This window comes from Homo sapiens, chromosome 7, assembly GCF_000001405.40.
Source record: "Homo sapiens chromosome 7, GRCh38.p14 Primary Assembly".
NCBI lineage: Eukaryota > Metazoa > Chordata > Mammalia > Primates > Hominidae > Homo > Homo sapiens.
Genome location: NC_000007.14, coordinates 130,096,688 through 130,108,858, shown reverse-complemented (window position 1 = coordinate 130,108,858; position 12,171 = coordinate 130,096,688). Strand labels below are relative to the sequence as shown.

The 12,171-nt window shown below is 39.6% G+C and overlaps 1 protein-coding gene across 5 annotated transcripts in view; it reads right to left on the bottom strand.

Annotated features, from left to right (window-relative positions):
• KLHDC10 (kelch domain containing 10) overlaps positions 1-12,171 on the bottom strand; it is a 65,172-nt gene that overhangs the window by 26,847 nt on the left and 26,154 nt on the right. For 3 of the 5 annotated variants that reach the window (XM_047420061.1, XM_047420062.1, NM_014997.4), the window contains one exon: positions 11,852-11,938. The exons of the other annotated variants lie outside the window; for them this stretch is intronic. Coding sequence is in view for 1 of the 3 variants with exons in the window: in NM_014997.4 (NP_055812.1) it covers positions 11,852-11,938 (87 nt within the window). In the remaining 2 variants the exon portion in view is untranslated. The remainder of the gene's footprint in view (positions 1-11,851; positions 11,939-12,171) is intronic. 5 annotated transcript variants of the gene reach the window in all.

The following is a 12,171-nucleotide window of genomic DNA, read 5'->3' as shown; positions in this document are numbered from 1 at the left end:
TATTGTGTATAAAGGGGGGAAGGGAGAGAGGAGAGGGAGCAGGATAAAGTAAAAGACAAAATAACATTTGGGGAATCTGGGTAAAGGATACAGGAGACATTTTTTTCCCTTTTCTTTCTTTTTTTTTTTTTTTGTTTGAGATGGGGTCTCGCTCTGTCGCCCAGGCTGGAGTGCAATGACTCAATCTTGGCTCATTGCAACCTCCACCTCCCGAGCTCAAGCGATCCTTCCACCTCAGCATCCTGATGAGTGCTGGGACCACAGGCGCGCACCACCACGCCCAGCTTTTTTTTTTTTTTTTTGGATATTTGGTAGAGACGGCGTTTCGTCTCGTTGCCCAGGCTGGTCTTGAGGCGGCTAACTCCTGAGTTTAAGCGATCCACCTGCCTCGGCCTCCCACAGTGCTGGGATTACAGGCGTGAGCCACCGTGCCCGGCCAGGATACAGGAGAATTTCTACCATTTTTGCAATTTTTGCAATTAAACCGGAAGTTCTATGGCAATTAAAATTCTATTTTTAAAAAGTCCCTTGAGGATTTTATCTGGGATAACCCATTAAGGAACATAATCCCTAGCCATTTATTCTTGTCTTTTTTGATGTCCATGAGTATAGTTTCTTTTTTCTTTTTTTTTGAGACAAGTCTCGCTCTGTCGCCCAGGCTGGTGTACAGTGGCGCGATTTCGGCTCACTGCAACTTCCGCCTCCGGGTTCAGGCGATTCTCCCACCTCAGCGTCTGGAGTAGCTGGGACTCCAGGCGCACACGACCTCAACCAGCTAGTTTTTTTTTGTTTTGTTTTTTGTTTTTTTTTTCCCGGGGAAGGGTTTTTTGTTTTGTTTTGTTTGGAGACGGAGTCTTGCTCTGTCCCCCAGGCTGGGGTGCAGTGGCGCGGTCTCACCTCACTGCAACCTCCGCCTCCCGGGTTCCAGCCATTCTCCACCCTCAGCCTCCAGAGTAGCTGGGACTACGGTACGGGCCACCGCGTCCGGCTCTTTTTTTTTTTTTTTTTTTTTTTTGAGACGGAGTCCCACTCTGTCGCCCAGGCTAGAGTGCAGTGACGCGATCTTGGCTCACTGCAACCTCTGCCTCCTGGGTTCGAGCAATTCTCCCGCCTCAGCCTCCCGAGTAGCTGGGATTACAGGCGTGCACCACGACGCCCGGCTAATTTTTGTATTTTTAGTAAAGACTGGGTTTCGTCATGTTGGCCAGGCTGGTCTTGAATTCTTGACCCCACGTGAACCGCCCACCTCGGCCTCCCAAAGCGCTGGGATTACAGGCGTGAACCATGGCACCTGGTCGCCCAGCTAGTTTTGTATTTCATCAAGTTTCATTGTTTTATTGTTTTTTTATTTCTAAGTACTTTATAAATTTCCATACAATTGTAACTAGATACCTCTTTTATTTTGTAATTGGTTGCTGTTAATATATAGGAAGGTGGTTTTTTGCAAGTTTAAATTTTGTCCAGCCAATTTTCTGAACTCTAGTATTAGTTATCATGAATTATCTTGAATTTTATAGGTAGACAATCAGATCATCTGTTATTAATGCCAACTTTAACTCTTCTTTTCCAATATGTGTACTTCTTTTTTCTTTTTCCTGGTCTTCTACTGTATTGGCTGAAAACTCCAGAACAAGGTTGAATAGTGGAGATGACAGTGGACATCTTTGTCTCGTTTTTTTTACTTTAATGAGGACACTGGTAAGGTTATGCCGTTATGTATTATGTTTGCTATTGGTTTCTTATCAATAAATGATACATCATATATGATATTTACTACTGGTTTCTTATAGTATTCTGTCATAAAATAAATCTTCTTTTATCCCTGGATGCGTAAGAATGTTTTCCCTTACCAGGAATGGATGTGGGGTTTATTTGTTTATTTATTTTTGAGACAGGGTCTTGCTCTATTGCCCAGGCTGGAACGTAGCAGTGTAATCACTGCTCACTGCAGCCTTGACCTCCCAGGTTCAAGCAATCCTCTCATCTCAGCCTCCCAAGTAGCTGGGACCACAGGTGTGTGCCACCACGCCCGGCTAATTTTTGAATTTTTTCTTAGAGACAGAGTGTTGCCCAGGCTGGTCTCCAACTCTTGGGCTCAAGAGATCCTCCCACCTCAGCCTCCCAAAGCGCTGGGATTACAGGCATGAGCCACTGTGCGCCCAACACAAAGTTTGTATTCAAATGTAACATACAGAAAAGCATATATGTCATAAGGGTACTGGATGCATTGTAACAAAATGAACACATTAAATATCAAATTTTATTAAATGTTTTATTTAATACAGCAAAGTCACAATTTTTCTTTAAGCCTATTAAAATAGTAAACTAAATACATTCCACAGATAAGGTCCATTTGATCTTGATTTCTTATTTAGATTTGTCCCTGCAATCTTATGTATTTTTTATTTACCGCTCTTTCTCGCTTTATTTTCCCACTTTTCTGATTTTATTGAAATAAGCTTTCTTTTTTCCCCTACAAAGATCTGTATCTTATTACCCCTAACACTTGCTGAAAAACAAACTTTTATTTTTTAACACTCTTCAGAAAGAACCACATCTGGAAAGACTCGCCTGTTAATGGTGGTTGAGTGAAGATGTGAGGCAGGATCTTTGCTTTTTAAATTTAACTCCTTTTATTGTTAAATATGGCATGCATTAGAATTTACATAAATATAAATGTACAGATTATTATTTATTTTATTTATTTATTTTGAGACGGAGTTTTGCTCTTGTTGCCCAGGCTGGAGTGCAACGGCGTGATCTTGGCTCACTGCCTCCGCCTCCCAGGTTCAAGCGATTCTCCTGTCTCAGTCTCCCGAGTAGCCAGGATTACAGGCATGCACCACCATGCCCAGCTAATTTTGTATTTTTAGTAGAGGTAGGATTTCACCATGTTGGTCAGGCTACTCTCAAACTCCTGAACTCAGGTGATCCACCCACCTTGGCTTCCCAAAGTGCTGGGATTACAGGCGTGAGCCACCGCGCCCGGCCTTAAATGTACAAATTATTAAAAAGAGAACACGTAACCACCATCCAGCTCAAGAAACACAATACTGCATAAAGTGCTTAATAAATTATTAAAATAGGAACATATAACCATCACCCAGGTCAAGAAACAGAATACAGCCAGCACCCAGAAACCCTTTGACTGCCCATCTTGATCACACCCTCCAACCTCCCTTCACTTCTAGAGTATCCTACTTCCTGATTTTTAGGGCAATCATAAAAATCTGTTGTCTTTTTATAGCTTTATTATACCTAGGTATGCATCTCTAAACAATACTGTTTATTTTGGCCTAGTTTTAAAGTGTATTTGAATAGAATAATATATGTAGAATAATATAGTATATTTTCTTTCTGGGCTCTTTTATTCACAATTATGTTTTTGAGATTCATCCCTGTTCTAGGGGAAAAGAAGTGGTCTGTTCATTTCCCTTGCCAAATATTATTTATTTGTATGAATATATGTCACAATTTATTTATCCAGTCTAAGTTGCGTGAAGAGGCATTTTGGGTTGTTTCAAATTTGTGGTTCTTAATGTTGCTACAAACATTTTTGCACATGTTGCAAGTGCACAGGGGCTCACATTTCTGTTGGCTATAAATGTAAACATGGAATTTCTGAATCTTAATGTATGTAAATCTTCACCTTCGTTTGGTAAAGCCAAAATGTTTTCAAAATGGTTGTACCACTTTACATATCCAAGGGCAGCATGTGAGAATTCCTGTTGTTCCATATCCTTGCCAATACTTGGTATTGCCACTGTCAGTCTTTTTAATGTAGCAATTCCTGTGAGTTTGTAGAGCTCTCGTGGTTTTACTATTCATTTCTCTCATTGCAATGAGGGTGAGCGCCTTTTCATGTTTATTGGCCATTTGAATTTTTCTTTTGGGAAATGCCTGCTGATATGGTTTGGATCTGTGTCCCCGCCCAAATCTCATGTTCAATTGTAATCCCCAGTGTTGGAGATGGGGCATGGTGGGAGGTGACTGGATCACGGGGACGAAGTTCTCATGAATGCTTTAGCACCATACCTCCTTGGTACTGTATAGTGATGAGTTCTCACAAGATCTGGTTGTTTAAAAGTGCATAGCACCTCCCCTCAACTCCTCTTGGTCCTGCTCCTGCCATGTAAGACACCTGCTCCCACTCTGCCTCTTGCCATGAGTAAAAGCTTTCTGAGGCCTCTCCAGAAGCAGATGCTACCATGCTTCCTATACAGCCTGCAGAACCGTGAGTCAATTAAACCTCTTCTTTATAAAGTACCCAGTCTCAGGTATTTATTTATACCAGTGCAAGAACAGATTAAGAACACCTGCTTAAGCCTCTTACATACATTCTCTCATTGAACTGTCTTTTTTGAAATTGATTTGTAGAAATGTTATATATGCTTGCAGTAAGGATCCTGACTTTTCCCCCTATGTATTTCTGTATTATTTGAATTTTTCTTTTAGTAAGTAGATAATACTACACCTGTAAATTTTAAAACAAAAAATTCTAGGACCTTTAGTACAACTCTCAATTTAATTTTAGTTACAGAATGTTATACAGTTGACCCTTGAACAAAATGAATTTGAACTGCACAAGTCTATTTATATGCAGATTTTCCTCTGCCTCTGCCACTCCTGAGACAGCAAGCCCAACTCCTCCTTTTCCTCTTCCTCCTCAGCTTTCTCAATGTAAAGACAGTAAGGATGAAGACCTTTATGATGATCCACTTCCACTTAATGAATGGTAAGTGTATTTTATTTTTCTTATAATTTTTTTTTTGAGATGGAGTCTTGCTCTGTTGCCCAGGCTGGAGTGCAGTAGCACGATCTTGGCTCACTGCAACCTCCGCCTCCTGGGTTTAAGCGATTCTCCTGCCTCCGCCTCCTGAGTAGCTGGGATTACAGACACCCACCACCATGCCCGGCTAATTTTTGTATTTTTAGTAGAGGGGGGATTTCATCATGTTGGCCAGACTGGTCTCAAACTCCTGACCTCGTGATCCACCCGCCTCAGCCTCCCAAAGTGCTGGGATTACAGGTGTAAGCTACCACTCCTGGCCTGGATTTTTCATTTTACCAGAGTACATCTTCAAGTAATTTTATCAAAATGGGGTATGTCACAAACTTTCAGAAATCTTATTTTGACCCCCCCACTTAAACATTAGTGAGGCCGGGTACTGAATTCTGTCTTGAGAATAATTTCCCCTCAGAACACTGAAGGCATTTATCTTGTAGCAAACCATGCTGCAGGTGAGAAATCCATGCCAGTCTGATTTTCAGTTTTGAGTCTATGTAACTTGTTTTCTACCTCTGAAATAGTAAGTACTTTAGTAACGTATAGGGAGGTACTTTCTGTTGGTTTGTTTTTGCATTTTTTCCTGTTTGGTCCTTTATACATGAAAGGCATGCCCTTTATACGTGAAAACTCAGATTTTTTTTTTTTTTTTTTGAGTCTTGCTCTGTAACCCAGGCTGGAGTGCAGTGACATGATCTCAGCTCACTGCAACCTCTGCCTCCCGGATTCAAGCAATTCCCCGCCTCAGCCTCCCGAGTAGCGGGGATTACAGGCACCTGCCACCACGCCTGGCTAATTTTTTTGTATTTTTAGCAGAGACAGGGTTTCACCATATTGGCCAGGCTGGTCTTGAAATCCTGGCCTCGTGGTTCACCTGCCTCGGCCTCTCAAAGTGCTGGGATTACAGGTGTGAGCCACCGTGCCTGGCCAAAACTCAGATTTTTAAATTTTCTCCCTTCCATTGTCTGATCTTTCCTTCTGTAACTCCTGTGAAATGGGTACTTGATCACTCAGATCTATCCTCAAAGGATGAATTTTCCTCATGTACTTTCTATCTGTAGGTCTTCTTTATAGTCTGCAAATTTCCTCTATTTTATTTTTATGAAAAGTAACTAGTCTTAAGTGTATTGTTTAACCCTCCAACTGAGTTTTAATTTCAGCAATCAATTCTTCAATATAAAACTAATTCATTAATCATTACTTTTTATCCATGGAAGCGTTTTTTGTTTTGTTTTGTTTTGTTTTTTGAGACAGTGTCTCGCTCTGTTGTCCAGGCTGGAGTGCAATGGCGCGATCTCATCTCACTGCAACCTTTGCCTCCCAGGTCCAAGTGATTCTCATGCCTCAGCCTCACGAATAGCTAGGATTACAGGCGGCTGCCACCATACCCAGCTAACTTTAGTATTTTTAGTAGAGATGGGGCTTCACCATGTTGTTTGGCCAGGCTGGTCTTGAACTCCTGGCCTCAAGTGATTCACCTATCTCAGCCTCCCAAAGTGCTGGTATTAGAAGTGTGAGCCACCATGCCCAGCCAGGAAGCTGTTTTTTTAAATTTATGGATCTAATTCACTCTTGGCTCTGTAAAGATACATTCTGTGATTAGAACTTCCTCAAGTTCCACTCCACTTGTTCATTATCTCTGTTTCTACCATAGGCAGCTGTTTTGTTTATTTTAGTCTCTTCTTAGTTTCCCTCAAATGTATGGTGAGCCTTTATCACCTACTCATATTAATAAATGAAGGACTACATTGGTTAGTTATTATAAGAAACATGTGTTTCCTCAACAGTTGTATTAATTTGCCTCCAAAACCCAAATGGAAGGTCTGTCTGAGTGTGGGTCTCTGCAGGTAAGTGGCACACTGACAGACAGGCTTCCCTTTACAAGTGGAGAAAAAGAAAGCAGTTTGACCTTATTACTGCCAAAATTGGCAGGCTGTATTTTGACAGTATTGTCCTTTAATGCATATGGATCCTTGATAGAGCTCCTCTTCTTGTTCTCCTCTCATTCCACTCTCCTCATCCATCTACTACAAAAGTCCATTCGCTAAGGCTCTGCTTTGTGCACTCTTCCTCCAGTCTTTTTTTTTTTTTTTTTTTTTTTTTAAGAGGGAGTCTCACTCTGTCGCCCAGGCTGGAGTGCAGTGGCATGATCTTGGCTCACTGCAAGCTCTGCCTCCTGGGTTCATGCCATTCTCCTGCCTCAGCCTCCCAAGTAGCTGGGACTACAAGCGCCTGCTACCACGCCCGGCTAATTTTTTGTATTTTTAGTAGAGACGGGGTTTCACCGTGTTAGCTAGAATGGTCTCGATCTCCTGACCTCGTGATCTGCCCACTTCAGCCTCCCTAAGTGCTGGGATTACAGGTGTGAGCCGCCGCACCCGGCCTTCTTCCTCCAGTCTTAATCGATGCTCGCAATGCCTGCCCAATCCTCCCCAAGGCAAATCTTCTACTTTCCTTGAAATGTTCTCATGGCTTTATCCTGGAACTAATGCCATTGCTAGGGTGCTTTATGTGAAGGGAGAGAAGGAGTAGGGGAAGTAACTGTTTTGAAGGCAATTCTTTCATTACCTGCCCTGATATTCCACCTTCCCCCAAAACTGCTCCATCTTCCTATACTTGCCACCTCTATGCTTAGAGTTTAAGAAAAGAGCCCTACTAAGACACTCTCTGACTTCCACCATGCAACAGGAGCATCTATTCTGGGTTGCATTTTATTCTGTGCTGGTTCCTCCATCAATATAATTCCAATTGTTTTCTGGTACCCTAAAATTTCTAAAAACTTCTGGCATTCTAACAATAACAATAATGATAGCTAGCACTAATTCAACATTTGCTATATGTAAAGAAACTCTCCTAAGTGCTCTGTACATACTGTCTCTCTTGATCTTCACAGTAACTCTAGGAAGTAGATACTATTATCATCATTCTAATTTTACAGATGAAGCAACTGAGGCAAAAAAAGAATAAGCAACTTGCCCAAGGTCATACAGTTGCTAAATGGCAGAGCCTGGATTCAGACACAAGTAATCTAGTTTCAAAGTCTCCCTTTTCTGTTTTTTTTGTTTTTTTTTTTTAATTACAATGATTTATTCTTTGTCTTATGTCTGTTTTGTCATTTCCAATGACATCTGAGAAGTAGGGAAAAGTAAATGGGTATGTTAAGTCTGCCATTTTATAATAAAAACCATTGTTTTCATTACGCCATTACTGTTTTCACTACACCACAATTTTAATTGGTAGAAATATGTTTTAGAGAAGATGTAGGACCTAGTGAAGAGGAATCTAGTGACAGAAAATGGGCCCTATGAAACTGTCTACAATCTGAACCAAGAGAGGTGATATAAAGAATTCCAAAATATCAGGCTTCAAAGTGGCTATTTCAAAAGTATAGATAAGTTAAAAACAAACAAACAAGCAAAACCACACAACCTATTGAAGCATTAAACAATAGCATTTTCATGTTCTCAACAATTCATTAGTTCACTGTCACCAATACCAGAGAGAAGTTGAGAACATAATAAAATGTTACTCCCATCCTATTTTCTGACAGTGGCCTTTACAATACTTTAATTCAAGGTCAAATACATATGATATACCTGCTACATGCACTATGCTACAAACTGGAGTAAAGATATGAAAGGCACTGTCCTATTGTCCCTGCCCTTACAGAGCTTACAGTCTAATGGGAGGCACAGACAAGTAAACAACTACAATTCAGTGCAATAAGTGCTATGATATAGGTAGGTACACGGAGGGTGCCATCAGAACAAAGAGGGGAGAGGCCTGCCAAGGAAGTTTCCCTGGAAATACTCTTGGACTGAGTGTTAAAGGATATGCTATTAATGCTATTATTGGTTGTTCTGGAGAGACTAAACTGAATTTATTATCCTTTGCCTAAAATCTACATCTAATTTCACTTCCACTTCCTTATATGTCAAATCAATTCTCTACTTTTTTTTTTTTTAATGAGACAGGGCCTCGCTCTTTCACCCAGGCTGGAATGCAGTGGCATGATTATAGCTCACTGTAGCCTCGAACTCTTAGTTGCAAGCAATCCTCCTGCCTCAGCCTCCCAAGTAGCTGGGACTACAGGCATGCCCCCACCACACCCGGCTAATTGTACATGCGTGCATGTGTGTGTATGTAGACAGACAGGGTTTCACTCTGCTGGATTGCAGGTGTAGGCCACCATGCCCGGCCCCTATTCTCCATTCCTATTACAACTACCCTCATTTCAGTCTCCATCATTTTGCACACTAATAACTATAATAATCTCATAATTAGCCTTTAATTAAATTTCTTCACTAGCTAAAAAACCAAATCTGATCCTGAAAACTCCACTTGGGTGGTGCCCACTTGATCTGGGCCCTCTCCAGCCTCTTTTGTCCACCTCTTTCCCACTGTGCTGAACTTTCTCTACATCTCTAAAAACACCATGTCCTGTTTTGCCTAAATGCCTTTACTCAAGCTGCCTGATCCCCATGGTTTGAGAGGATCCAACCCTCCTTTGCTGACACCTACTCAGCCTTTAAGCACATCCCTTCTGATGTCATCCTCATGGCCACTCCTCTGTCACCCTCCTTCAGCCAAGTTGAGTCAGATACCTCTCCTGTGTGCTCCCATAGCATGCTACCTCATCAGAACACTTACCACAAATAATTATACTCAAATTATTCTGTAATTGTCTGTTTACCTGATTCTCTATTACTTAGATCATCAGGCTAGCACAGTACATAGGAAGCAATCAAGAAATACTGAAAGAATGAAAGAATGAACGAACGAACAAACGAAGAGACTTAAGCCTGTGAAAGTTGATGAGACAACTAAAGGAGATAATGGAGAGGACAGAACACTGGAACAATATCCACCTTGAGGGAGCAGGAAGAAAGAAGCTAGTGAAGGAAACAGAATGAACAATCAAAGAGGTAGGAAGAAAACATCTAGAACTATACAGTAAAGCAACCCAAAAAAAGAGAAAAATTTAAGAAGGGCAAGTAGTCAACAGCCTCAAACACTACAAAGAGGTTAAAGAAGGTGAGAACTAAAAGAAGGCCACTAGTGATCCTGATGTTGCTGATGCTGAGTTAACTCCCACCTCAATTCCAGCACTGCCAGGGGCCACCTTTCTCAACCACTGATTGAGGCTATTGAGGGCTTACAAATAACCAATGGTATAAAACTTACCTGTGCAATCTTTTTTCTCCACAATCAAAAAATTGAAAAACAAACACCATACAAAAGAAAATAAAATCCCCATCATACAGATACAACCTGTTATGTCACTATTTGTTTTTTATGTTTATGTGTTTTATATCATTATTATGTTGAATTATATATCCTAAACAATTCCTTAATTATGCTTATATTTAGTATGTATAATTAATTATATTAATATAACTAAAATGAAGTTTAATTTATGCTTTATTCAGCACAAGTTAGATTTCTCATTGGAAATTGGTAAATTGGCATTCTAACTTATAAATAGAAAAAAGAAAAAATGCTATAGAATTAGACATGCCTGCTTGGCCATGTGTGTACAATGGATAATACTAAAATCATCTAATTTTTTTTCTTTTTTTTGGAGAAAAGTCTCACTCTATCGCCCAGGCTGGAATGCAGTGGCACAATCATGGCTCACTGCAACCTCTGCCTCCTGGGTTCAAGTGATCCTCCCATCTCAGCCTCCCATGTAGCTGCGACTATAAGTGTGTACCACCATGCCCAGCTAATTTTTGTATTTTTTACAGAGACAGGGTTTCACCGTGTTGTCCTGGCTGGTCTTGAACTCCTGGGCTCAAGCAATCTGCCCACCTTGGCCTCCCAAAGAGCTGGGATTACAGGTATGAGCCACCCAGCCTGGTCCTTAATTCTTACTAACAAAATTTACTCATGCTAAAAGGTGGTACACCATCTTGAGGATCTTATCTTGACCCATTTTATGGTTGATTTTATGCATGCTCTGGAGCTCAGGTGACAAAAATAGGTTAGGAACTAGATATAGAAACATCTATAGCAGTTGCAGGATTTTTTCCTAGGTTAAAAAAAAAAAAACTCCAGTTAAAATTAGATACACTGGGTTGTAAATAATTTAATACAGTCTAAATTACAACATTAAGTATGCTTGTGTGATAATTTGTTGTATCTAGAAAAATAGTGTGAACCAGAGTTTTCAACCCTCTTTTGAGATTTTCTTTTTTCAGTATGGAGTATGTATTAGTAGAAAAAATAAAAAGTAGAAGGAATGCAACATTTCTAAAAGTAAAAACTGCTAGGTCAAAGGGTATGAATATTTCTAAGGTTTTTAATACATATTACCAAACTGGTTTCAGAAAAGCTGTATAAAATTTATACTTCCTTCAATATATGAGCTTTATCTTCCCATACCCTTGCCAACATTGGGTATTCTTATTTTTGGTCTTTGCTCATCTAATAGGTAAAAACATCTTATTGTTTTAATTGTTGTGTTTATAATAATAGTAAAAATAAATACTTGTTCATAATTATTGGCACTTCTTTTTAACAAACTGGTAATTCTATATCCTTTTACCTATTTTTCTAGTGGGCATTTGTTTTTAACCTATTGGTTTATAAGAACTCTTTATATATTCATATTACCCCTTTGTTAACAAATAATTCTCTTTTTTATCTTTTAATATATGACATTTGACATAAGAGGTTTTTTATTTTATACCATTACATAATCTTTTATTTCTTCCTTAGAATCATATTTAGAAAATTCTTTCCCACATCCATATTTTATAGATTATTCACTCAAAATTCTTTCTAATATGGCTACTGTGGAATACCATTTATATCAGTGAGATGATTTATCTCTACCATCTAATAATACACTAAGTGATTCTGACTCCCTGAAACTTACAATTACAATCCCAATAGTGGCCAACAAGAAACAGGTTTAAAATTAAGTTCTAGATTTTTCTTATTCCAACTGTTTCATTAGCTGTTTAGATGATTTTTAAAAACCAGAGTTTTGAGCTTAGAAAATTCATTCAAAGTTCCCTTTAACCCATACGAAGCACAGATCTCTTGCTAATTATCACCCACCTCTCAAAAACCTGTTAGGGATCCTTATGATGGGACAGGACTGAATGAAGCGCCTCCTAACTGGGTCCCATCGTATTTTCTTCTTACCTGTTACCACAATTATCAGCAATAAGTCAGACACATACAACACATTGCAAATAATACATAGTTACTGTAGTTATAAAGACAGAAAAACAGGAAACAAAACAATACTTGAATACAGAAAGAAAGTGACGTAAAGTAGCATTTAACCCTGTTTTGGAAGTCAAAATTAAATTAACATATAAGCAGTGATGAAGGTTTTCAACTCTTACCCCCAAAAGAATACAATTTTGTGCACC